This window comes from Homo sapiens, chromosome 9 (assembly GCF_000001405.40).
Source record: "Homo sapiens chromosome 9, GRCh38.p14 Primary Assembly".
NCBI lineage: Eukaryota > Metazoa > Chordata > Mammalia > Primates > Hominidae > Homo > Homo sapiens.
The window spans coordinates 40,186,360-40,214,208 of NC_000009.12; the positions used below are offsets into that span (position 1 = coordinate 40,186,360).

General features: G+C 39.0%; 1 long non-coding RNA gene and 1 pseudogene across 12 annotated transcripts; one reads left to right on the plus strand and one right to left on the minus strand.

Annotated features, from left to right (window-relative positions):
• On the minus strand, positions 788-7,562 carry MEP1AP1 (meprin A subunit alpha pseudogene 1; annotated as a pseudogene).
• Positions 2,712-27,841, plus strand: LOC102724431 (uncharacterized). 12 transcript variants are annotated; one of them, XR_929624.1, is made up of 9 exons: positions 2,712-2,791; positions 10,553-10,716; positions 18,543-18,766; positions 20,398-20,558; positions 22,651-22,711; positions 24,988-25,411; positions 25,537-25,682; positions 27,091-27,165; positions 27,777-27,841. It is a non-coding gene; the product is annotated as an uncharacterized LOC102724431 (long non-coding RNA). The 12 variants fall into 12 exon arrangements; XR_929623.2 differs by lacking the exon at positions 2,712-2,791 and having other exon boundaries at positions 10,528-10,716; XR_929626.2 differs by lacking the exon at positions 2,712-2,791 and having other exon boundaries at positions 10,528-10,716; positions 20,440-20,558.
• Positions 27,842-27,849: the final 8 nt, after the last annotated feature.

The window sequence follows — 27,849 nt, forward strand, 5'->3', positions numbered from 1 at the left end:
AGATCTCACCCTAGATCTACTGACCCAGTTTCTACAGAGGACAGGAAGATGTCAAGGTGGGAAGCCCTCCACATGCCATCACATGCATGGTCTGGGAACATCTGCATGAGGGAATCTCCCTGGTCCTCTTGGGTTGTGGTGACTTACGGAAGCTCTTGGGAGGGACCTGGAGGCTCTACTGAAAGTGGAGGTTTGTAAAGTGTGGGGCCCTGTAATCTGTTTTAATCAGTCCTCCCTGGGATACAGATGCACCTCAAGTTTGAGAGGTATTGCCCTCAGGGGTGCTGTTTTCACTTGCTACAAATTGTTCTCATACCTTTGCATTAAAGAAACTCTTGTTAATCTCTCATTTTGTTTCCAGTGCATTTTAACTCTACAAAATTGTCATAAAGTCTCTACTTAGGAAACCTTATAACTTAAAGGACCACTCAGAATCCTTAAAATATTTTTGTTTGTTAAATTTCCTGAGCTGACTCATTGCTGATTGGGTATAGAAACTTTAGCTTTTTTTTTTTTTTTTTTTTTTTTTCACTTGATCTATCTTGGAACTTCCTTGCCCCAGCTAGATTTTTATCTCCTTAGGAACTATGGAAAGAAAGCATATCTAAAAATACTTCTTTAAAGTTCTCTGATACCTTCTGTTTGTTAATATGATAATGTTGTACATAAATAGCTATAAAATATACTGTTAAACTTAAAAGATCTGGGAAAGAGCTTTTGAACACCCCCAACCTTCAACACACACATGCACACCCACACGTACATACAATACCAGATACAAAGAAGGTGCTAACTCAATATTTATTAAATTTATTAAAGGGCTTCTCTTAGAATCTCAGAGGAAAGCAAATGCTGTGAAGCCGGGCTGCCTGGAAGTACCTTTATTTGAAATCTTTAACAAGATCTTAAAAGAGTAATGACAGTACTGTGTCTAATGAAAAATGAGTATTTGATTCTAACATATTCAACATAAGAATTTCATAATATATATTTGATCTGCAATATAAATGAGAGTTTCTATATCTTATTCATTCATTTATTGTTTTATTCATTCAACCATTGTTGAGTGCCCACAATGTGCCAGCCATGCATCTAGGCACGTGGCCAGCATGGTCAATAACAACATGTGCCTGCCCTCATGGGGCTTACAGTCTATAGGAAAGACAGTCAATCAAACAAGTGGTTTACAATGAAGTATGATGAATGTTGTCACAGGACACACTAGATACATTAGGAGCACATAGCAGAGTAACAGAATTATGTGGGGCAGAAAGATGACAAGGGTCACACATGGGGCTGGAGGCCTTAGACCTTGGAGGTCCTATCCAAAGCAAGGCTGACAAAAAAGCTGCCCCAAACTGCACTGACCATTGGAAGGTAAGGCCTGCATGGAGGAGGTGCTGCTGTGGTCTGGCCAATGCCAACAGGCAGGTCACTTCCTTGGCCTTTGGGAAAGGATGGCAATGATGGAGAAGGTCAAGAAGATCACACCAGCCGTGCCTCCAATCACCATGCCCAGGACGCTGCCGTGCAACTGCATGGCCTGACAGCGCTCCCATTTAGAAGAAAGCATGTCCAGAGATGCACCTGAGGGAAAAGGACATGAAGAGAGTGTGGGAACTCCCAGGCCTCAGGTGCCTCCTAGCAACACTCATCTCCACAGCAATAAAAATGGCAAACGCTCACTGAGCAGGTCCACGTGGTGCCTGGTCCCATTTCAAGTGCTGTATATGGACCAACTAATTTAACCCTTCAACAACTTTTGAGGTGGAGGCTATTACTTGGCCATTCTCATCATCTTCATCTTACAGGAAGGTTAAATAATTTGCTCAAGGTCCCATTGTTAGTAAGCATTTCACACTTGAAATCTAATCCCAAGAGGTATGCCTCCAGATCCAGGCTTCTCAGCCACCTAGGATTCAGGAGGATGGTCTGAGACACTTAAAGGAATACATTGCCTGACACTGGCTAAGAATACAAGCTACAAAGGAAATTCCCCAGATACAGTCTGACTTAGAGCATCAGTGGTAGCTTGAAAACGTCTAAATAATATTAAATAAAATGTTACTGTAAGGTTAGTGTGTACTGTCACTATCTCACAAGGTTGCCCTGAAGTTCACCTGAGATAATGAGGACACTGTACCTATCAAGGTATTTGACACAGAGTAAGCACATAATGGCCAGCCCTTAGTTTTGTTTCTTAATGTTATCTGGTATAAAGACGAATTAATCTCATAACCAAGGCATATAACTTGTAGTGTCTCATCCATACCTTTGTAAAAATTCCAGCCTTTGTTTCAAACATTCCCACTAGAAGGTCTACTCAGCAGAATTCTACAAGGCAGAGTGAAACAATCAGAAGTCAGCATTTTCTGGCTGGGCATGGTGGCACACGCCTGTAATCCCAGCACTTTGGGAGGCCAGGTGGATCACCTGAGGTCAGGAGTTTGAGACCAGCCTGGCCAAAATGGCGAAACCAGCCTGGCCAACATGGTCTCATCTGTATTAAAAATAACAACAGCAACAACAACAAAAATAGCCAGACATGGTGGCGGGCACCTGTAATCCCAGCTACTCGGGAGGCTGAGGCAGGAGAATTGCTTGAACCCGGGAGGTCGAAGTTGCAGTGAGCTGAAATTGTGCCACTGCACTCCAGCCTGGGTGACAAGAGCAAAACTGTGTCTCAAAAAAAAAAAAAGAAGAAGAAGTCAGCATTTTCTTTTACTAATCCTGAATGATTTTACCTTCCAAGTCCTCATCTCTATCCTGAGAATTGACTTCTTAGAAATCAGTGAGTAATAGCAAGTTTATTTCATTTTTTTTCTGACCCAGTCCCCTCCAAACACAACTTCGTAATATCCCCTACTGTTATCTTAGAAAAACTTATTCTGCCAACTCTCAGCTGCAGGTTTCTAGGAGAGGAATAGTTTGGCTGAGTAGAGGCTGACATACAAGTGGCAACCCTGGCCTCCCTTAGCCTGGGAAGGATGAAGCGTGTTGGGGGCACACAATGGAATCTGGCATCTAAGGACCTGTCAGGCAAAGATATGAAGACCCATGGCTTTGGAGCCCAGAAACAGATGGGCCTTCCCCAGTAAAAGGAGCCAGAGGGCTTCTTGGAAGAGTGATTGATTCTATGGGTGGGGCAGGAAATATAAAAGATGAGCCTAGAGCATGCTATGGTGCCAGAAAGTAACATTGTGTTCATAAAATCTGATGTTGAAAGATCACAGGAGCCAACCTGGAAGAGCTCCCAAAGGCCAAAGCTGGGACAATAGAAGCAACAAAATAAATTATGAAATCATTGCAACAGAGCCCACTGAATCAATGTTTATGATTCCTTTGTGATATACATAAACAATCGCATAAACAAATTAACGGGGTGAAGGGGCCATTCTTCTTTACAGAAGAATTCTAATTAATGAATGTGAAGGACATAGGAAATCAACATTAGAAGATCCCAGTGGTGAGTATTGCAGCAGGTTGTATCAATAGATGCTGAAATTAGCATGTGAGGATTTGAGGAAAAGCAGGATGTCTCAATGGTCTTGAACTATCTCTCCCAAGATATGTATCAATTACAGAGGGAGAAATGGTAACTCTTCAGTGGAGAGGCCTGGTGGACATGCTGTTGGCCAGATGATGAAGGTTGACATCACCAGTAATGACATGTATCAGCATCATGTACCTGCTCACATGATGCAACAAGAAGGCACAGCACATATTTACTAATCTTGCCACAAATGTGAAACCTCAATTTAATCATGAGAGAACAAGATGAACCAAAAAAAAATCCCTAACCAGTAATCTTCAAAAGTGTCAAGGTAATGAAAGACAAGAAAGAACTGAGGAATTGTCCCAGATTGGAGGGGATTAGGAGACAGGAGACATAAAAACTAAATGTAACGTGAGATCCGGAATTGGATCCTGAAATAGAAAAAGAACATTAGTGGGAAAACTGGGAAGAGCCGAATAAGGCCTGTAATTTATTTACTAGCATTCTACCAATGTTCATTTCTTGGCTATGCTAATTGTACTATGGTTTGTGTAATATGCCAACATTACGGAAAGCAGGGTGAATGGTATAGAGAAAGCCTCTGTAGTATTTTTGCAAGGTATCTGTAAGTCTAAAATTATTGCAAAGCAAAAGCTACAAAAAGAAAAAAAAGGAGACTAAAAAGAACTCAGAAGAAATGTAAATTTTTGAGGTAGGCAGAATAGCTCCTACATCTGCTACTGTTCAAATGGAACTGTTGCTTCTGTCATCACATACCTCCTTTTGTGAAACAGTTTTTAGGGTTTTATGCAAGCAAACATTGTAAAAAGAACTATTAAAGTTCTTTTTAAATATTTAAATTTAAATATAGCAAACTGTACTGCTTTTTAATATTTAAACATTAAATATAGCAAACTGTGCTGCCAGACAGACCTAGATGCAAGTCCCAGCTTCAGCATTTTCCATCTGGGTACCTTTCAGATAAATTACTTAACCTTTCTAAGCCTCAACTTCTTGATACACCAAATGGGGATAAGGAGAGCCCTTATGTCACAGGTGGCAGTGAGAATGAATTTAGATCATGCGTGTAAGATGCTCAGGAGACCACATGATGCATAACAAGGGGTCAGAAATATCAGGTGTTCTTACTACTATTATTGAAAACATAACTTTAACAATAGTGCAGTGTAAATGACAGACTGTATAACTAATAATCATTAGGAGCTAATAATAACATCTGCGTAGTCAGCAAAGATTTAAGCTTGGTCTTGAGACCCACTGTCATGGAGTAGAAAGTCCCTAGGCTAGAAGCCATCTTGGATGTTGTTAGAGTTAGAAATTCCAACAACATCCAAGATGCTGTTGACAATACCCCAGAGGAGGAAAAGGGGTGAAAGTCAAGAGACAAGGAGACCTGGGACGCCTCTGTCCTGGCAGCGTAAGCCCATGAATCCAGGGCACACCTTTGTAGAGTCAAGGAAAACTGCATCCAGCTGACCATCTGAGGTAGTCTTCGCCCTACTCTGCAAACAGCAGCCTTTACCAGGCATAAGCATGCACACGGCCCAGGTCTGCTGGCCTGCCTGTCTCCCCAGCCACAGAGCCTACCTGCACCTCGCCACCCACTTCAGGTTCACACAGATGCCATCATTTTGGCAAGGGTTTGGGTCACATGGGTCTCTGAAGTACTGTGGCCAGTTATGGTCCTCCAGGGGGCCTGTGTTCTTCACTGACGGCTTCTGTCAGCTGGGCTGCCCCTGGCTGAGGCTGACAGGTACGGCTTCCTCTAACATGGCCTTTCCTGAACCTTCTTTGGAGACCTGCTGCTCCTGGCCTTGGAGAATGAGGCCTTGGGGGCTCAGTCTTTTGCCTTTAGTGGGAACTTCAGTCTGGCTGAGGTGGGTGATATCTTCAGGAAATAGAGGGTCACGAGGAAGATCCAGGATTAGTAACTGACTACAGCGAACTCCCACTTCTGGTGAAAGTTCCCCAGCCTGCTTCTATCTCTAGTGATATGTCACCCCCAGTGACATGGAAAAGTGGCTTTGAATCCAGCTGATTCCCACGGTACTAGCTAGTTTTATTTTAAAGTAATCCAGTCACATTTTTATTTATTGAATTTGCAAAATGAAGCATAAAGTTAGCATGGATAGACTGATGGAAACTAAATTGAAATCAGTGAACTGTTACCTCTGATAAAATTTTCAAAAAGATGACACTAAAATTTCAGTTTCTTTCAGGGACAGTTAAAATAAAGATGTGCGTCCTTGACCAACTGAAGAAAATGTGGTTCTCCTACAACACATTTTTTTTAACCTCATCCCCACCCTCCATGTGTGCTTTAAAATCAGGATAAAATCAGTAGAGTGCCAAGAGCATAGGATTATTTACTCAGGAAGACCAAGAAAAGTACTTTCAAAGTCCACAAACATGATGAGGTCATCATTTTTCAGGAAACTCCTCCTTTTCAGCATTTGGTGGGAGATGAAACCACTCCAGCCAAAGTCAATGCTTCTAAAACAATTACAGTCAGCATGATAGGTTCCCACCCTGGACGGCCTGTCCCAGATGACAGTGTCATTTGTCCCTGCAAAATTGTAGGTAACATAAAATCACATTACCTCTTTAGACTTCGCTTTCCAGTTTGTCTTTTATGAGGATACAGGGCTTTGTGAATCAGAAAAAAATAAATAAATAAAAATAAAAATAAAAATAAAAAAATGTTGGAAAAAAATTAAGCTATTTACTCTTTCCAGGAGAATTGAAATTCAGAATTGAAAGATGGGAAAGGCAGAGAATCACAGCTCTGAGTGATCAGTTGTCTGCTACTGCGTGATTTTTTTAATGAAAAGAGAGGGACAGCTATGGCTTCTTTCTTCTGAGGCTTAGGTCTTCTCTTTTGAAAAAAAAAAATAGTGCCAGGTGTGGTGGCTCATGTCTGTAATCCTAGCACTTTGGAAGGCTGAGGCAAGTTGATTGCCTGAGCTCAGGAGTTCAAGACCAGCCTGGGCAACAGGGTGAAACCCCGTCTCTACTCGGGAGTCTGAAATAGGAGAATTGCTTGAACCTGGGAGGTGGAGGTTGCAGTGAGCCAAGATTGCGCCATTACATTCCAGCCTGGGTGACAGAGCGAGACTCCATCTCAAAAAAAAAAAAAAAAAGTTTTCCCATTTCTTTACTGATGTAAGTTTATTTCATGAACATAGTGATATTGAGTGCTATTTTAGGAGTAAGTACATTAGCTCTGCACAGAGCCTAGCAAGTTCCGAGTATTTGATAAATGATTAGCAGTATCTGTTTCCTCAATCACAACGAGCTCAATGAGGCAGGGATCACCTGATTCACTTGTATTGTAAGTACCTAGCACAGAGTTTGGCACATGGTAAGCCCTCAACAGATGTTTGATGAGTGAATTTAGGAAAGGGAAGGAGGATGTGATGGCATTGAAAATCTTAACTTGAAACTCCAACACGCCTATGTTATCGGTATTCCCAGGCGGACAATGTGAGGAGAATGTTACTCTTTCTTGCACCACAGAATCACATCTGTGGGCCTCTCTGGTTCGAGGGGCAGTTCTTATTTATGCCGACACCACCCACCTGGAGATATGTGCAACTTGGAGGTAGTGAACACCAAACTTGAGGACATCCTGTTCCTGACATCAGGCTCCTGGTCGAAGATGGTAATTATCACCTGTCTGTTTTCTACCGGCCACTCCAGGATAGCATCATTCTCCCCACTGCACACGTGAAAAGCAAGTCTCAAATAGCCAGAGCTTTCTCTGCCATGGGGGTATAAAGTTAACCCAAAACCGCATCCCTCTGAATTGTAGAATCGAGGGCTCTGAAGCTTGTCCCCTTCGCTGGTGTTCTCAAGGACCTGGGAGAAATTCCGGACTGTCCAGACCCCTGTGGGGCAGGGGGTTTCTGTCAGAGTGATGTCATCCAGGTAAATTCCCCCAGTTGAGTTCCGAGGGTCGCCTTTTGTGCCCTGGAAAAGTTAGCGAAATTTCTGTTCCTCTTTGAGTACCACATGGGCAATTTTCCAATTATGGTCATCATCTCCTGAGGACAGAGAACAAGGCTGGTGAGAATTGTGGCCAACACTTAATGAGTACTTATTATGAGTGTGGCACAGTGCCATGTGCTTTCCATAAATGATCTCATTAAATCCCCACAGCAGCCCTATAAAATAGGTACTATTATGAACTGGTTAAGTAACTTTTCCAAAGTTACATATTTAATAAGGAAAAATGGTTTTTTAAAATACTATGATTTATTTTAAAATTCACATTCAAATCTTAACCATGAATTTGTTTTCCACTATCACTATAAGAATCCAGGTTCTGAATTTCCTCCTGAGTTGGCTGGTTCAACTGTAACCCCTAATGTTAGCAATGAAAGCCCATTAGGCTGAATCGTATAAAATAGCCATTTTGTAAGCCAAAAGTCAAAAAATAATAACTCCATATGGTCCCACCTGTCACTTGTTGCCAGAGAGGTATAAGGAATGCTGAAGAGCAGATAATAACCTGTAGGACTGACTGGATCTTCCCTACCTGAAACCGACTCCCTCTCCAACATCTAGACTTTTTTCTCTTCCTTATATTATCTGAAAGTTCAGCATGTAGGGCAGTGAAGTAAGCCAAAGAGAGTACTATTGTCTAGAAATTCACATTCTAATAAAGATTAGGTCTACTTGCTTTTTCTCTGAGCATGAACTAGAAGTGGGACTTTTGAATTAAGAGCTGAGGAAAGATGGTGAGAAGGCTGTTCTAGAGCATGGGATCCTGGGTTGAACAGCAGAAGAAGCCAGGCAGGAGCTTGGGGGCACTGGAGAGAGGAAACTGAAAGCAGAGCAACTCAGTTCCGCAAAGAGATGCGCCTACACTGATATTTTTGCACAGGACATTCCCTAGAGTTGGGCTTGAAGAGGAGAGGAAAAATGCTTCCAAGTGGAAGTCACGTTGGCTAAACTGAGTTCCTACAGATGAGTGTCTTTTTTCCTTCTTCTGTGTCTTTTAACCAGAAATCTACTGACAGAACTATACTTTCCCTGAAACAGAAAAGACCTTTAATCTCCCTTTGTTTTCAGACCATTCTCTCTAAGGACTTCAAGGGACAGGTATACCAATGTTATGTTTCCTAGGGTGGAGCTGATTATGGCCTGTGTGGTTAGGTTACATGGGAACATAGGAGAGAGGTAGAGAAGGCACACGACCACCTCTGTAACATACAAATCTAGGTAGCTGCCATCTCCTGGGGAGAGCACTGCAACCTACTGGAAGACACATGGACTTGAAGGGTAATAGGTGCCAGAAAGTCTAGGAATAGGAACAGAGATACAGCATTTGAACTATTTATCCAGCAGGTTATAGATGACGGGAATTCTGTCAAGAGAATAGGATTCCGTTCCTGCTGATGAGTACCTGCTTTGTTTTTTCTTAATATAGGATGTCCAAATGAGGTTGAGATGGGGGAATTTGGCACTGGGAAGGAGACCCAAGAGGGTCACATAAAGAACACTAAGTGATATTCAACTAACCTTTTTGAAAAGTTTCATTGACAAACCAGTATCAGAACAGACTACTTTAAAAATCCTTTCATACAGTGTTCCCAGGGACAGTACACAGGCATACTCTGAATTCAATGAAAACACAAAGCACAGCAGTGTAAGAAACTAATCATGGGATGTTCGCTTGATTTTATGCTTTGAAGTAACACTGAGCTTTAGATGAAAGTGAGTGATAATAGGTCCCATCAATATTATTGAAACTCTAACTCATTTGCTCATTAAATATTTACAATCCTTGGTAACATAACACATCCTCAACTCTTAAAGAGTATCTACCTGTCATCCTTTCATCATATAAACTATGATAAATTTCAACCAGAAAAGTGAACCCCTCAAAACTGTGATTTGTAGAGTTCCCAGGCAGCCCAGAGTGCCTTGGATATAGGCGATTTGGGAACCTGTTCTTACAAGTGACCTCTAAGGAAGGTTTCTCCTTCAAGAGCAGCAGATATATAAAAAATAATTCCTTTCTCTGGACTCATTTCAACTGATAAATGCCAAGGTAGGCAGTTGGATGCTAGGATAATCTGGCCATAAATCATGATTCAGGGTTATAAACAAAGTGTATGCTTTATTTTGTTGTGGTGGTGGTTCCTTCATAACTAGGAAAAGGGAGACAAGCTTTCTTACTTTTCAACAAAAAGTTTCTCTATCTATAATCATTTACATGCTGACCTTCTTATATAAATACACAAAGTGACTCTTAGGAACATGTAAATGATTATAGGAAGTTAACATATACCAATGACTTATTTGCCACCAACATTATAAGTAGGCTTCTAGTTACTGCAGCATATTAAATAATGGTATCATTTGTTTTTCTGAAACAGATGCAAAACACTGTGGTCAATTTTTTTTTTTTAAGATGGTGTCTTGCTCTGTCGCCAGGCTGCAGAGCAGTGATGCAATCTTGGCTCACTGCAACCACATTGCTACCACTGTAGCCGAGCTGTGGTCTCTGATGTCACCACCAGCTGCAGCGAGGTAAGCCACGGAGGCGCAGGCTCTGGCTCCAGCCTCCAGCATGCAGCGGTGTCTCTTCCTTCTCCTCGTCTTCCAGCCCGGCAGGAGAAGCTCCCGCTGCTAGCCTCCCTCCTACCGCTCCGTCACCAACACCACCAACAGGGAGGCAGCGCCCTAGGCTCCAGGCTCCAGGCTCCAGCGGGTGAAAACTAATGGACCCTTCTAGTTCTCTAACCCAGGTACCTAGCAGCTGAGCACACCGACACAGAAGACCCAAAAATGACGCACCACTTCCTCAGCATGCTTTATATACTGAAGTTACGGATCCTGGACTACATGTTCTGATTGGATGAGAGAAAAACCTCTAGGCCTACTCTGATTGGACTTTATTTTCATGCTGTGATTGGTTATCTTAAGACTTGCTCTCATGCAATCAGAACATGAAGTCTAGGAACCGGCATGCGCATAACCTCCGTATATAAATGATGCTGAAAAGCTGTTACGGTTTTTTTTTTTTAGGGTTCGGTGTTTTACTGTTGAGCTGCTCAGTGCCCAGCTTAGAGGACCAGGAAAAGGAGTCACCGGCCATATGCTGGAGGCTTGAGACACGGCACAGCGGCGCAGCTCGCCTCGCTATGGTTGGTGGTGGCAGTGGAGCTTGCGATTGCCACGCGGCTGGAGGGGTAGGAAGAGGAAAATCGTTTTGGGATAGATAGAGGGGTGGGTAAAGAGTTTGGTTATTGCCAAAGGGAAAAAAGGATAGCGAGGAGGAGAAGGCGTTGCAAAAAGACGATGGGGAAAAGATGGTGGGGAAAAAAGGTTTTGGGTAGATGGAGGTGGAAAGACAGGGTGTGGAGCGGGAGTGAGGGAAGGTTTTGCAGAAAGACGGTGGATAGAAAGTTTATGGGTGGATGAAGGGGGAAAAGATGGTGGCAATTGGGGAGGGGAGAGAGTGGTGAGGTGGGGGAAATGGGCTAGCAGTAGGGAGAGAGGGTTTTGTGAAAAGACAGTGGGGAGAGAAGTTTTTGGGTAGATAGAGGAGCAGAAGAAGATAGCAAGTGGGAGAAGGAAAAAGGGTAACTAGCGGGAGGAAGACAAGGTTTTGCGAAAAAACAGTGGCAGAAAAGAAAGATGGTGGCGAAAAGACGGTAGGTAAAAAGTGTTTGGGTAGATGGAGGAGGGAAAGAGGGTGACGAGGAGGAGAAAGGAGGGTGGCGAGAAGGGAGCAGGGAAAGAAGGGTGGGAAAAAGACGGGAAAATAGTTTGGGATAGATGCAGGGCAAAAAAAAGGGTGACAAGCAGGATAGGGGAGAGAAGAGGACGAGTGGGAAGAGGGGGCAGACTTTGTGAAAAGATGGGGAAATTTTGGGGGGTAGATGGGGGGAAGAGAGAGGTGAGCAGGAGTGGGGAGAAGGCTTTGAGAAAAGATGGTGGGGAAATGTTTTTGGGTAGATGGAGAAGGGAAAGAGTGGCAAGGAGGAGCAGGAGGAAAGACAATGAGGAAAACAGTTTTTGGGTAGATAAAGGGGGAAAAGAGGGTGGTGAGCAGCAGGAGTAGGGAAAAGGCTTTGGGAAAAGACGGGGGGAAAATGTTTTTGCTTAGATGGAGGAGGAAAAGGGCATGATGACAGCAGGAGGGGGAAAAAAGAGGGTGGCCAGGGAGAAGGGGGAAAATACGGTGGGAAAAAACGGGAGAAAGTGTTTGGGTAGATGGTTGGGGAAAAGCGTGGTGAGCGGGAGAATAGAGAAGGCTTTGCGAAATGACGGGGGCGGGGGCGGGGAGAAAACGAAATGATGGTGGGGAGAAAACGGTGAAAACGTTTGGGGGTAGATGGAGGAAGAGAAAGGGTGGTGAGAGGGAGAGGGCGAAATGCGGTCGGGAAAAGAAGGTGGGGAAATGGTGGGGGACAAAAGTTTTGGGTAGATTTTTAAAAATAAGATTATTTGTATTTTCACTTTTGAGTAGTTTGAGTTCTTTAGATATTTTGTGTATTAACCTCTTGCCTGATGCATAGCTGCAAAGACTTTCTTCCATTCTCGGGTTCTGTCTTCATTATACTGATTGCTTCCTCTGCTTTGGAAAAGGTTTTAAGTTTAATGTAATTACATCTTTGCTTTTGTTGCTTGTGCTTTTGATGTCTATTTGAAAATTCCTTGTCCTAACCAATTTCATGAAGCATTTATCCTATGTTTTCTTCTCTGGTAGTTTCATAGTTTCAGGTTCTGTATTTAAATCTTTATTTTGAGTAGATTTTTGTATATGGTAAGGTAATGGCCTAGATGTATTCTTGTACATGTGGGTGTTGGGTTTTCCTAGTACAGTTTATTGAAGAGATTGTCCTTCCCGAAGGTGTGTTCTTGGGGCCTTTGTTAAAAATGAATTGACCGTAAACGCGTGAATTTATTTATGATTTCTCTATTCTGTTTCACTTGTCTATGTCTGTCTGTCTCATTCGTTCATCTCTCTTGTCTCTCCCCCGCCCCTTTTATTGAGAGTACCATACTGTTTTGATAGTACCATCCTTACTATAAATTTGTAGTATATTTTGAAATCAGGTAGTGTGATGCCTCCAGCTTTTCTTTTTATTCCACATTCTTTTGTCTATCTGAGGTATTTTGAACTTCCATGTGAATTTTGAGATTCTTTTTCTATTTCAATGAAGAATGTCTTGTAATTGAACATAGATTGCATTGATTCTGTAGATCACATTGGGTGATACACATATTTTAACATTCTTCTAGTGCATAGAGATGGGATATCTTTCCATTTACTTGTGTCTGCTTTAGTATCTTTCATCTATGTTTTATGAAGTTTTCATTTTGGGATCTCTTGCCTTTTTGGTTAAGTTTATTCCTAGATATCATTTTTTTGGTAATGAAATAGCTTTCTCGATTTCTTTCTTAGATATTTCACTATTGGTGCATGGGTGTAGTATTCATTTTTATATTTTGATACTGTATCTTGGAACTTGACTAATTTATTGTTTCTAGTAGGTTTTTTGTGGAATCTTTAGGGTTCTCTCTATATATGTTCATGTCACCTGGAAACAGACAATTTGACTCCTTTTTTCCAATTTGGATGCCTTTTATTGCATTCTCCTAATTGCTCTAGCTAGGACTTCCAGTATTATGATGAACAAAAGTGGTGTAAAAGTAGCCACACTTGTTCCAGATCTTAGAGGAGAAGAGCTTTTAACTTTTCCTTCTTGATTATGTTAGCTGTGGGTTTGTCATATATGGCCTTTATTGCACTGAGATATGTGTCTTCTGTACTCATGTTGTTGAGTTTTTATCATGAAGGAATGTTGACTTTTATTTTTTTCAGCGTCTACTGAAATGATTATATGGTTTTTGTTGTTGATTTGCTGAATGTGATGTTGCATATTTATTTGTGTTTATTGAATCATCCTCATATTCCTGGGTTGAATGAAATCCACTTGATCATGGCAGATGATCTTTTTATTGCATTGTCAAATGCAATTTTCAAGTATTTTGCTGAGGATTTCTTACACCTCTGTTCATCAGGGATATTTGCCTGTGGTTTCCTTTTTGTGTTGTGTTCTGGTCTGGTTTTTGTACCAGGGTCATGCTGTCCTCATAGAACAAGTTTTGAAGCCTTTCTTCCTCTTCATTTTATGGGGAATATTTTGAGTAAAATAGATATTAGCTATTTTAAAAATGTTTGGTAATTCAGCAGGAAAACCATGATTCTTGTGTTTTTCTTTGCCAGGAGACTTTTTATGACTGCTTTAATTGCATTCCTCATTATTGGTCTGTTCAGGTTTTTTATTTTTATTTTTTATCATTCTATCTTGGGAATTCGTTATGTGTCTAGAAATGTATTCACTTCCAGATTTTTCAATTTCTTTGTGATGTTTTTAGTAATCTTTTAATGCTTCGTATTTCTGGGTTACCAGTTGTAATGCCTTCTTTATGACTTTGTTTTCTTTTTATCTAAGTTCATCTAGTTAAAACTCGTCAATTTTGATTTTTTTTAAAACACCCCAGCTTTTGTTTCATTGACTTTTTGTATTTTTTGTTTCTATTTTTAAAATTTCTTCTCTAATCTTTATGGTATTTTTTCTGCGAATTCTAGCATTTGATTGTTCTTGTTTTTCTCATTACAGGAGGTGTACTGTCAGGCTATTTGAGATCTTCCTACTTTTCTGATGCAGGCATTTATAGCTATACACTTTTCCTCTTAGAATTGCCTTTGGTGCATCCCACAGGATTTATGTTGTGTTTCTATTCTTACTTGTTTCAATAAATATTTAATTTCCCTTGTATTTTTTTCATTTCTTTTATTGGTTGTTCATGAGCGTGTATTTTAATTTCCATGTATTTGTACAGTTTTTAAAGTTCTATCTGTTACTGATTTCTAATACTATTCGACTGTGGTCAGAAAAGATACTTGATATGAATTCAGTTTTTAAAAATGTGTTGGGTGACCGAGGCGGGATCACGAGGTCAGGAGATCGAGACCATCCTGGCTAACACGGTGAAACTCCGTCTCTACTAAAAATACAAAAAATTAGCCGGGTGTGGTGGCCGGCTCCTCCGGAGGCTGAAGCAGGAGAATGGCGTCAACCCGGGAGGCGGAGCTTGCAGTGAGCCGAGATAGTGCCACTGCACTCCAGCCTGGGAGACAGAGACTCCACCTCAAAAAAAAAAAAAAGTGTTGTGACTTGTTTTTTGGCCTAACACAGTCTGTCCTGTAGAATAATCGATGTGCCACTCAGTAGAATGAGCATTGTGCAGTTGCAGAGTGAAAAGCTGTGTAAATGTCTGTTAGGTCCATTCTGTATAGAGTACAGTTTAACTGATGATGTTTTGTTGTCTGGATGATCTGTCCGTTCGCGATAGTGGGGTGTTGATTACGGTGGAGTGTTGAGGTTACTCTATTATTGTATTGCAGTCCCTCTGTCCTTTAAAGCCTGTTAATATTTGCATCTATATTTAGGTGCTTCAGTGTTGGTTGCATATGCACTTAACGGCTGTTTACTTGTTTCTCATTATATAATTATCTTTATTTTTTCTTTTTTTGAGTTAAAGGCTATTTTATCTAAGTATAGCTACTCCTGCTTTTTTTGTTTCCGTTTGTATGGAATATCTCTTATCATCCCTTGACTTTGTCTGTGTATGTCTTTATAGGTGAACTGAGTTCCTTGTAGGCAGGACATAATTGGGTCTTTTAATCCATTCAGCCACTCTGTCTTAATTTAATTTACATTCAGGATTATTACAGATAAAAACATACTACTGCCATTTTTTACTTTTTTGATTGTTTTGCTTTTTCTTTTGTTCTTTCTCCCTTCCTCTTTTCTTTCTGATCTCTTTTTATTTCTTCTCTTTCCTCCTTGCCTTTCTTCCTGTCTTTATTTGTAGTGAAGTAATTTTTTCTGGTAGTGTTTTAATTCCTTGGTTTTTATGTTTAGAGTGTCTGTTGATTTTTGTTTTCTGGTTACCATGAGGCTAAACAACATAACAAGTTACTTTAAACCGAAGAAAACTTAACTTTGATTGGTCTCAGCTACTCAGGAGGCTCAGGTGGGAGGACCGCTTGAGCCTGGGAGGCCGAGGTTGCAGTGAGCTGAAATTGCACCACTGCACTCTCCAGCCTGGGTGACAGAGTGAGACCATGTCTCACAAAATAAATAAATAAATAAAAATGCAATAGCTTTATAATGAATTCTGATTGTAAATTTGGAGATGATATATTAAGGTATAAAGAGGAAAGTGAAAATCATAATCTCATTACCCAAGGATAACTACTTCTAATGTTTTGGTACATACGCTTCCTAATTCATAATCCCCTCTCTTTTACACACACACAAATGTACACGTAAAATAGACTTTACACACATAAAATTTTATTGTAACATTTTGAGAAACACGGTTTTGTAATTTTTTCTTTAAAAATATTGCAGATAAGTTCTGTGAATAACATATAATAACATACATCTTAGTTTTCAGATTTTGTTTTTTGCTCTTTTGGGTGGCAGGTTCGCTTTTGGCTAAAATGAATCGTCTCAGTATCTTTGATTTTCCTTCTCTCCTCTAAGCTGTTGCTTTTGGAAGGGGCGCCTGGATCTCCCTCCTATTTACTTGGGGGCAAACACATAGTATCAAGGGGTTTTGAAGACACGTTGCCTGTGCCAGATAGCAACACTGGCTGTAGTTCTGAAAATATTAGCGTTTTTGTCCTGTGATTAATACTAAGATGTAAATGAAGTGGTTTAGATCACTGTAGCAAATGACCTAGATATAACTGTGTGTGTGTGTTTTAGATCATTGTAGCCAATGATTTAGATACAACTCTGTGAGTACCTTTTAATTAAGGGCTCAAGATTTCTACACAGTATGTTCATTGTCTGCTTTATTTGTAGAAGTGTAAAAGCTGATACTTGGGTGATGTAAGAAAATGGATAGGTTTTACTATCACAAGGAAAAGGTAATATCCATACACTTTTGCCAAGGAGGCATGGGTTACTTAAATTGGCTTCTGGATATTGGAGTTTGGGTATGATAGCCTTACGTTGAATTTTTTGGTTACTGCTTGATAATATTTATTTCAGTAATTGTGTTTAGTAATTGATTGTGTGTGTTAATGAACAGTCCTGTCCTAAAAGCAAAAATGAAGTGGTTCAAGGGAGCATGAATTGTTAACATCTCCTTTAAACAAATAGGCTAGGTTAAAATTTTTTTACAGAGCTTTACAGTATTACATGTGAGTTTATTACACTATTACATGTCAATAAAAATGGCAGCAGAAGCTCTCTTAACTGACTTGCCAGATGGATTAGATCTCTCCATTCACTCAATAAAATGTCCATTTTATTGAGTCTTAATCCATTCAGAATCCATTTAGAAATACTATCTTATTTAACCTGTACCCTGTTTCAACTAGCAACTGGATTATAAGAGATGTGTATTAAATATTTTAGAAGACAGATTCTTTTAAATAAATAAAAATTATCACACAGGCTGTCTTAAACTTTTAAAAAAGAGATCTGATTTTAGATTTGGTTAAAATACTAGCCTACATTAGTATTCTTTCTAGGAAATAAATATTCACATAAATTGTTTTTCCAGAAATTGGCCTTGAATACAGATTTCAGATCGTTGAAAACGGAACCATTTGAAATCTGCATTTCCTTTCCTTTTCCTAATTTATTTCAGTCGCTCAATAGGATTTTCTCATGGAATTAACTTTTCCCTCTCAGCGTAGTTACATAAGCTTGCTGTTGTAATCATGAAAAATAATTACCCATTTCAGCACTTACTAACGTGGACCTTACTTGAAGGGTCTCTGGTTTTAAAGTCAGAGCACATGGCTAGAGGCAGATGAAGAGTACTTCATCATTCATAGCCACTGAGTCTCTATAATTTTTAAATGCCTTTGGAAAGCTAGATCTCATACTCAAAAGCATGCTTTTGTGTTACAAATCTTTTAGTGAACTACTTACTCAGGTCATAATGCTTTTAAAGCCCTGTTTTTCTTTCCTCAGAATAAACTGAATTACATGTTACCAATAACAATGCCACATCATTTCAAAGGAAACTGAATTAAGTAATCCAAGTCCGGGTTGCTGAAAACTAGATGACACAGGGTAGGCACTGTTTTGGTTACCGTGCAAAGGATCTCTATTAGTCAGCTTGGGCTGCCATAATAAAATACCATAGAACTGGGTGGCTTAATTTTCTCACGGTTCTGGAGGCTAGAAGCTGTAGATCAGGGTGCTGCTGCTTCGGTTCCTGATGAGGGCTTTCTTCCTGGCTTATAGGTTGGCTGGCATCTTGTCCTCACATGGCAAAGGGGAGAGTACTGTAGTCTCACCTTGTCTTAAAATGACACCAGTTCTATCAGATTAGAGTCCCACCCCATGACCTCATTTAACTGTTAGTACCTCCTCACAGGCCCTGTCTCCAAATTTAGCTATATTAGGGATTAAAGATTCAACATATAAATTTTGAGAGGGCACAAACATTCAGTCCGTAAAAGAAACTAGTTGTTTAATTAACAAGGATTGTTGAGCCCTGATATCTTGTTATACCTGCCTGTGTCCTTCCCCCATTCCCCTCCACTCTCATTTCCTCAAAAACACTCAGATAAGGATTTTTTTCAGATACTGTTATTGTTACTTATCAAACTACGTAGTAACATTATGAATTATAAATGTTATTAGCCATTGAGAAAGTAGCTGTGCACTGACTGACCCCAATTGACTGGGAGGGCTAGATGGTGCCTTCTCTGTGGTGGAAGATAGGTTGGAGAAATGTGGTTGGTAGCAAATGCTGTCTGATTTGAACAGCTTTGAAGAAGGCTGGTTCTAGTTGATTTCAGTTCTCTCCAGATGCCATTTGAATCTAAACCAATTTTCTAGTTCTTATCATTACAGAATTGTCTTCTGGAACAATTATTTCTTTTTGTTACTTGGTAGCAATATGGATGTAGTTTTCTGAATCATTAAGGCATTTTAACTCATCTTCCATTCTCTTATTTTTTAAGTCCTTTAGGTTGTTTGAGGGACATTCATCAAGGAAACCGGAGAAACTTAAAATGCTCTTCCGCTTCTTTGGAACAGTCACAGAGAAAAGTGAACTCCTTTCATTCTTGCAGTAATTTTTCTTGCTGATGGGAACAGTTCAAGTCAAGTGACATGTGAGGAACATTTTGTGTTTAACGTAAACCTTCCTGTCCCAACTACATTGAAACAGTAATGATGCGACAAGGTAACTTCGGTTTTATGCTTGTGTTGTGTATAAGCATAAATGTGTGCTATAAATGTAGGGGGGCGGGGTTTACATACTCTGAAATCGGACACATATTCTATACATCAAAACATTTTCATGAATAAAAACCAGAGAAACTATATTGACCAGGAAATAAATTTTGGATGCTCTTTATTTAAAGAAGCATTCACTAGTTTATTTGTATAAGTCAACTAACGCATTGCTTTTCTACCCATTCCTCTCTTTTGTGCCCCCCTAAGCCCTTTGTGGAGTTCTCATAAAACTGTTTTGTACTGAGTTTTATATCCATCTTCCTCTATTGAACCTTAACATTCTTGCTTCCCCAAAACCTGAAAGCAGCTGAGGCAGTAATAGTAAATGTCCAACAAATACTGGTAATGACCAACTGATAATAGATTGGTATTGCCACTCTTATCTCAGAAGCTGAATGACCGTGGTCAAGTTTCTTGACACCTCTAAGCTTCAGTTTTATCACCTATGAAATAATATAATAATGGTTATTATCTTACAGGGTAGTTATAGATATTAAACAAGGAGATACATGCTTAATAAATGTAAGCTATTATCAATGGGTAGCCTTTCCTACAAGTGGATGTAAACCAGAACACCTTAAAAGTTTCTTTGTGCTAAGTAGGTAATGTCAACCTGGTCAAGTGAAATGGCTTTTTTTCAGTTCTGGGTTGTAGGATTGTCTTAAAACATGTCTTTGAACAATTTTAAGGTCATTTTTCTCATATCCTTCTTTTACTCTTGCATGACAGTGTACTTGGCATCTTCCCCCTTGAATGTATTGCTATTGGACATTGTTAAATTTTTAGAATGAAATCAATTATCAGGATTTTAATATTTAAGGGAACATTATATGCTTCTCTGATACGGAATTATTTATCTCATAGCTTATTGAATTTCAGTTTTGTGCCCTGTACTGAATGAAATATTAAAATGCAGAATCATTTGGACCTATGAGACACAAAATCAAATTAGAATTTGTAATGACTTGTTAAAAAGATGACTACGTAAGGCCAGGCGTGGTGGATCACGAGGTCAGGAGTTCCAGACCAGCTTGGTCAAGATGGTGAAACCCTGTCTCTACTAAAAAATACAAAAATTAGCCAGGCGTGGTGGCAGGAGCCTGTAATCCCAGCTACTCGGGAGGCTGAGGCACAAGAATCACTTGAACCCAGGAAGTGGAGGTTGCAGTGAGCTGAGATTGTGCCACTGCACTCTAGCCTGGGTGACAGAGCAAGATTATGTCTAAAAAAAAAAAATGACTACTTTTTTTTGGCTATTCTAGGTCTAAGTAGAATTATTACTGTTGGTCTTTTTTGTTTTGTTTTTACAGTACTTTGAGTTGCCGTTTTAAGTAGAATTGTTATAACTAAGTAGTACAGAGTTTACTTTTTTGTCCTGGGAGTCAAATCATGTATGTCTTCTCTAAAAACTAACTTGGCTTTCTACATTTTAGGATTTCAGATACTTTGAGGAAAAAGCTAAAAGTTTGTTTTTTAAACTAGAAATGTATATGCCATTATAAGTATTTGGAATTTGAAGAAATAAATTATAACTAGACATTTTATTTTCTGACTTTTTTACTGTACATGTTAATTAAGTTCTTTGTAGAAATACAGTACAACATTGCTCTTGGTCTGCAGTATGTAAAGCTAACGGTTTAAAGAGGAAATCCTAAAGAGAATAAAAGAGGTTGCAGTATAATGAGTCGTTGTGTAGAAGTTCTGGAGCCTACTCAATAGACTGGAGAAGCTTATTTAAGGTACCATATTTCATCGAATCTAAGATGTCATAGATTATTTTTAAAAAGTGCTATTACATTATATACCTCTAAGAAGGGAAAAACACTCAGGACAGGGAGTTTAGTAGGAGACCTAACCCACAAGGCTGGTACACCTAGGGATAAATGAGAAATTAACTTGACCATCCAGAAAAGGGACCATAAAGAAGCATGCAAGTCTCAACCTTGACACTAAATAGAGAAAGAAAAAAACATTTCTCTGAGAATTTGAACCACAAGCCCTAAGCTTTGGGTGTGCAGCCTTACCACCAGTGTGGTCCACAAAGGCCTGCCACAAAGGATTAATTCAGATGGTGTTGGGCTGATAGTGTTCCCAGATGACAGCAGAAGCAGATGCACACCTTCTCTGGGAAAATTCTCCTCTAGTCTAGACCTATGGTAAGATACCTCCATTATAAAAGATGTATTCCAGTTTCAGAAATGTAGTATGTGGAAAAACCCGCCTTTTAGAATTGATAAAATAGAATTCCATCAGGACCAACTTTTCAGTGTTGTTAAACGTGTATTTTATATTTGATGAGGATCTTGAGACTGAAATGTTTTAAAAAGCCTTCTGAATTAAATTACTTTTTATATAGTTTTAGATAAAGTATCTTATAGATCAGATTTTTGAAAATTTATGACCTGTATGTAGTATATATTGTGATTTTATTATGGGAAGTATTTGATTAATCAGAGTATCCTATTCTGAGATGAAAGTTGCCTTGTTATGAAAAAGAAAGCTAACAGACATGCTCTCAAGGCATTTTTTGTTAATCTGAGAAACCATGTTCTTCTGCCTTTTCTTGCTTTGCCAGCAGTGTTTACGAATTTCTCTTAGCATCTCTTAGTATATATGAAGGACATTTGGTGTTCTTACTTCTCTGCTAAGTTACCGAATGACAAGAGAGATGTTTTCTATTATATTCATGGAATTGCATCTCTAGTGTTAGAGTTGTTTGACCACTTACTCGTGAGTTTTAAATATGTTATCCGTTTATCTTAAAGTTAGATATCTAAAGAATGTAAGACCTATGTTAACAAAAAATTTTGTTTTCTTCTGCAACTGCTCCGTATGGTTTTTGAGTGGTTCCTGCTTTTGACTGAGAACAAGGAAATGTGGAATTGTGCATAGGAATGAAATGATGGCCAGGCTTTCACTGGGTTATACACTGTCATCAGTAATAGTTCCTGACATCTCTCTCTTTCCTTAAGAGCTTTTTTCTATTCAAGAAAACAGAAATGGCATAGCCTTTTTAGTTTGCTCTTTGATTTGAGTCAGACAAATTACTTCTGGCCAGCTGATATATTTGTTTCTTTTGCTACTAGCTTTAAAAAATAAATAAATCTGACTAGAAAAGGATCTCATCCTCTTAAAATTATTGACTACATTAATACTACTCCATTTTGATCCTCCCAAATGTATTGCTTCTTGAAAAATATGTCATCTTTATTCTGTAAACTCTTAGAACCAGTAATTTCTTCTCTGGCTAAGACTGCTACTAACAAGTAGAGTGATTGCCCACTATCTAAGCCTGAAACTTAGCTTTACTAACTTCAGAGGATGTGCAAATGATTTTCTTTTTAAAGCTGTGGCATTTCACTTTACTACAAAGTACATAAATGTGTCTTTATTCACCAGTCTTTGAATGTAGGGTTAAGTCCTTTCTTTGTAAAGGAGTCTACAAATTTGAATTCAGTTTTGTCTTTACTGCATAAGCTGTACCAGTTATACATCCTTTTTTTCAATGGTTTTGTTTTTAAAAGTGTATTCAGCTTCAAAACTTTACCAAAAAGTACCAGCACTCAAATCCTACTGTTGTGCTGTTATTTGTATAGTTTCGTTTAGTGAAGTCTTACTGTTTTATAGGAGTTTCTACTGTAAGGATAATATTTTCAATCAATATTCTGTTATTTTCCAATGCTAGGCTTTGTATTTCCTGGTTAGTTTTATAGTCAATGTTAGACCTATTCTTTTATCGAGTGTGTGTGCGCGCGTGTGCACGTGTGTGTGTATAATGTTTTCAAAATTGAAACTTATTTTGGGTATGTTTTTCTTTTATTGCTTCTGTAGAACCTACTGGGTTGGTGACATTTACAAGACAGAGTCTTGAGGATTTTCCAGAACGGGAAAGGTAACAATAATAATAAAAATAATCCTAGACCCCTAGAATTAGAAGGACTCTTGCACTATGAGAGGATTCTATTTTAGAGCACCTGGAAAGATGGTTTTCCAACCTCTATCCTAGTGCCAGGGAATTTCTTCTCAGAAGTGATCCATCGATAGCTTTCATTTTTGAAAAGGTTATGCCTTTTAAATCAAAGTCTGTAACCCTTTGATTTCTACCATTTTGTCTTGGTTTTGTCTTCTGAAAGAAAGCGGTGTTTAAAATTGAGGAGTGTTGTATGTGAAGACACTAATAAAAGGAACGCCAATATATAAACGTTTCTCCTTACCCTTTTTTTGGTTAGTGTTTGAACTTTATGGCTTTTCTTTCTGGAGGACAAGATTGAGAAAAGTCTTTTTATTATTTACATTTTAGTAAATAGTAACCGTCTAGAGTTTGAGTGGCAAGAATTTTGAAGTTTGGCTGCCCTTGTGTACTACTGGTAGATTTTCTGCAAGTTGCTATTTACTGTTTGTTTCTTATTTATCAGAAAATAATTGAGGAGATAGCAGCCAATCTGAGCTAATTCAGATTTGTAAGGTCCTTAGTGTCCTGAAATAGTTAACATATTTTTTAATCTAAAGCAAGTCCCCCAATGCACTTAAAGAAGTGTGGATTAACTTTTTAAATATGTTTGAGGACATGGTGAAGCATACTAAACACATATTTAACCAATGCTTCCCATTTTCACTTTCTAATAATTTTATGATAGTTTGTAATTGTTTTGTTTGGAATTAGTGATGAATGGAAATCACTTAAAAAAAAAAGTTGAGAAGTCATATCTGCTTAGGTGGCTTTCCTGCGGTGTTTTCATCCATCAAAGATGTTTATTTGTGAAGTGAAAGATAAAGAAATTTACTCCAGAAGACTGAGTGTATGGTTTAGGTGATTATTAATAGAGGGAAGTAGATAAAAGGTTAAGAAACCTGAAGAGAGAAAAAAAATGAGCCAGAAAAAGATGAGAGCATGTACAGCATTTTGGCATCATGCCATGTCAGATCTGAAAGGAACCCCAGCCGCCTACTAAAACTCTCGATAGCTCTGTAATACCTGCAACAGTTGGAGACTGGATAGCTTCAGTGACGGCAAATCCGCTGTTGCACATCAGTTTGTTCCATTGGTGGCTGCTTGTGTTATCATCTCATGCTTTCATTCACTAAAAATGTTTTCTACATTCATTCTCCACTATTCCTGGTTCTTCCTTCTAGAGCTATGTAAATAAATCTGAATTTCTAGTTTTCTTTAAGATTTGACCTTCCTTCATGTATCTTAATGGCTTCTTGACCTACTTTCCTCTCCAAAAGTGCATACAAGTTCATACTAAACTGATTCATTTCTTCTATTTCACATGTAATATGGAGTCTAAACCCTTTATCTCTGCTCTTAACAGAGTAGATTGGTTGCAGTTTCTTGGGTGCAGGAATGAAAAAATGAGTACATTTGCCTCAGCCTCCCATATAGCTGGGACTGTATAGGTGCATGCCACTACACCTGGTTAATTTTTGTATTTTTTGGTAGAGACGGTGTATCACCCTGTTGGCCAGGTTTGTCTTGAACTCCAGACCTCACTGCCTGCCTTGGCCTCCCAAATTACTGGGATTACAGGCATAAGTCGCTGCGTCTGGCTTGGGGGAGTTACTGTTGAAGTATTGTCTTTGTATCCCAAAGCAGGCCCTTCTGAAACTGATGATGTTGATGAAAAACTCCTTCTACTGAAGTCTTTGCAATGTATAATCTTTTCACTTCCATTTTCCTACATACTGTTTCTATTGGTTCCTTGTATTCCACAGACTGTGTTTTAGTATTTATAAGTATAGTGTTCCTTTTCTATGTGGAAAAGGGAAAATGTATTGGCCTTTTTTTAACATATAAATGAACTTCACAAGCAACAATTTTTCAAATCAGTTTTCCCTGTTGTGAATCTCGAAGTGGGTACATGATGCACTTTCCCATTTAAGGTAAAGTACACATTTATCCCTTATCTCAGAACAGTCAGAAGTCAAGTTCTTATTGTATGGTTAGTAATGCAAATATTGATAAGGTCATGTGAATACTTAGTATTTAGAAGAATTCTGAAATAGCACTTGTTACTCTGTAAGTTTTATGCATTTATTACTTTTTTTGAATTTTTTATAATGTTCCCAAACTTGACTGCCTTACTTCTATCTCTTCTGGCCTCAAGTACAACAAGATGTATTTTCTTTAGATTTAGCATATAATATAAATTCAATTGTTTATTTTAGATTTTGAAAGAACAAAGAGGAACTACAGAATCATTGCTTACATTGACACCGGCCCTGTTGTCCCAATGGATGGGTTTTTTTTGGATGAACGTCAAAATTGACCCTGCTGTTAAAGCTTGAAACTTGGATCTGTTGTATCTGAGTTCTCTCCTCAAAAAAAGACCTTCAGGAAGTATCAGATAACTGAAACATACCAGATCACAGCACCACATGCCTCCTGCCCCTCCCTAATTTCTGTTCTCTTATACATTGTTAAATTTTTTTCCTGCCCCTATTAGTCAAGCCCATGGATTTGAGACTGAGCTCCCAGCTCCTGGGCCGCAGCACCAGGTTAAAGCTTTCTTCCTTGGCAGTACTTGTCACCTCAGTGACTGGCTTTTTCTCCGATGAGCAGGAGGACCTGGACGAAACCCCTAGTGTTTGGGTAATAACATGAACGACCATCTTAACTGTTATTCTTTATTGAAATTTTACTTTTTAACTACTGGCCTCTTGTTCATTATCTCCCATTCTTTTGACTTCATATCTCTTTTTTCATTGACTTTACAGTCAAGGAACTTGATGCTCCCTAAATCCAAATATTACGGTTAAAAGAAGAGAGAGGAAATGTGTGCAGAGAAAGTGTATTTTACAAATGAATTAAAGGTGGATTCTGAGTTACAGGTTTATAGATTTACCTAGAGTTTTGAGTTCAGGTGAGTTTTCACAATATGCAGTAAGTGGAAAAGAATCCCAAAATAATTGTGACATGAAAAAGCTAGGTGTTGAAAACCAAAAAGATTTCACTTTGGTATGGCACTTTTAATTCAAGAATACTAGCCACCAAATGAGTTTTTCTGACTGTAATCATTGCTCTTTAAAAATTGAGATGTATTTATAACTTTTGTTTGACTTTTAGTACAGCTTCTGAATTTAGTTATCAATAGATAGGACAAAATAGATGAGCATCTGCTTCCCTTCCCCCTAAACAATGTATTCTTACCGAAATGTAATATATTTTTATTTATACTTGAAGACAGTGTTTTTCAATCTTTTCCATGTTAGTAGCTCAGATCTTTAAGGACAGAGGATGTGTACTGGGGGCAGTTTGTGGTCTTAATCCTAAGTGGCACTCTGATATTTTAGATTATTTCTTTCATATTTGTGAGTAAAACTTCTGCTCCAGTAGGATGAGCCTGTTTACCTTGTGACTGCCTAACAGATCTGTTGCTTTATATGCCAGTTTTTAGAAGCAGGCAGATTACGTTACTTGGATTAAAATGTTTTTGACACTAAAGGTAGTATCTTAAATTTTTACATATGAGTTACTTTAAGTACAACTTTGCTTAAATTATGGGGATCGAGTTTCCATAACTTTCACCATAGTGAAAATGGAAAGCAGGGAACATTCCACAGCAAATCCTGAACTTATTTACAGAGTTAATTGAGCAAAGCAGGCATTCACACTTGTGTGTGTGTGTCAGTGACAGATGAGCATGGTACTTGAAGCATAATTGTGCTGCTTCAGATTCCAATATCCAGTAATTTTATCATGTAGCTAGAGTAACTAATATTAAGTCCCCAAGCCTACTTGGGTCTACTGTATTTGTATTTTAAAAGAATGTTTTTAAGCTACCAAATAGACATGTTATATATTTCTTCTGAATTAGAAAACGTTATTTGGATTAATAGAGTTAATAGAATCATATTTTATGTTTATTATGTCTTTTTTTTTTTTTTCCTGAGATGGAGTTTCACTCTCGTCACCCAGGCTGGAGTGCAGCGACGCGATCTCAGCTCACTGCAACCTCCGTCTCCTGGGTTCAAGTGATTCTCCTGCCTCAGCCTCCCGAGTAGGTGGGATTACAGGCCCCCGCCACCACGCCTGGCTGATTTCTTGTATTTTAGTAGATATGAGGTTTCACCATGTTGGCCCAGGCTGGTCTCGAACTCCTGAACTCAGGTGATCCGCCCTCCTCAGCCTCCCAAACTGCTGGGTTTACAGGTGTGAGCCACTGCACCTGGCCTATTATGTCTTAAAAGTGCTTGCATCGTCACCTAGATTATTTTTTATCTTTCAATGTGAGTTTTTATTGGTTTATATGTTGTTTGTTTTCTTTTTAGGAAGCCATCATTCTTTAGAGGGCAATGACCAAACAGTACCAGCAGAAATTGAAGTACCAGCAGAAGGCTAAGAAGGTTAGGAGAAAAAGACATTTTGTATTTTACTGTTTTTTTCTTTTTTTTTTTTTTAGACGAAGTCTTGCTCTGTCACCAGGCTAGAGTGCAGTGGCACGATCTCGGCTCACTGCAACCTCTGACTCCCTGGTTCAAGTGATTCTCCTGCCTCAGCCTCCTAAGTAGCTGGGATTATAGGCACAGACCACCACATCCAGCTATTTTTTGTATTTTTGGTAGAGACCAGGGTTTCACCATGTTGGCCAGGATGGTCTCAATCTTTTGACCTCCTGATCCACCCACCTCGGCCTCCCAACATGCTGGGATTACAGATGTGGGAGCTTGGCCACCTCCTCTTGGGAGAAATGCACTGATTCTGGTTGCCACGTGGATTTATTTTGGGAGTGATATTCATCTAACTTCATGGAAATAATACTAGATAGAGAATTCATCCGCTAACTTTCTATCTGATGAGAGTTTTGGGCAAATCGAATACCAAGTTACCAAGTTTTGTTTTTTTCTCTGATGCAAAAAAACAATTTGCCAGCCAGTGAAAAACTCTCACAGCTCTGGATGTGAGTTTAGGATACTGGATTTCTACCATTCAATTTCTTACTACTTTTCTTGCACAGGGATCATGGCACAAGCTGCAGTTTCCACCCTGCCCATTGAAGATGAGGAGTCCATGGCAGATGAGGAGTCCGT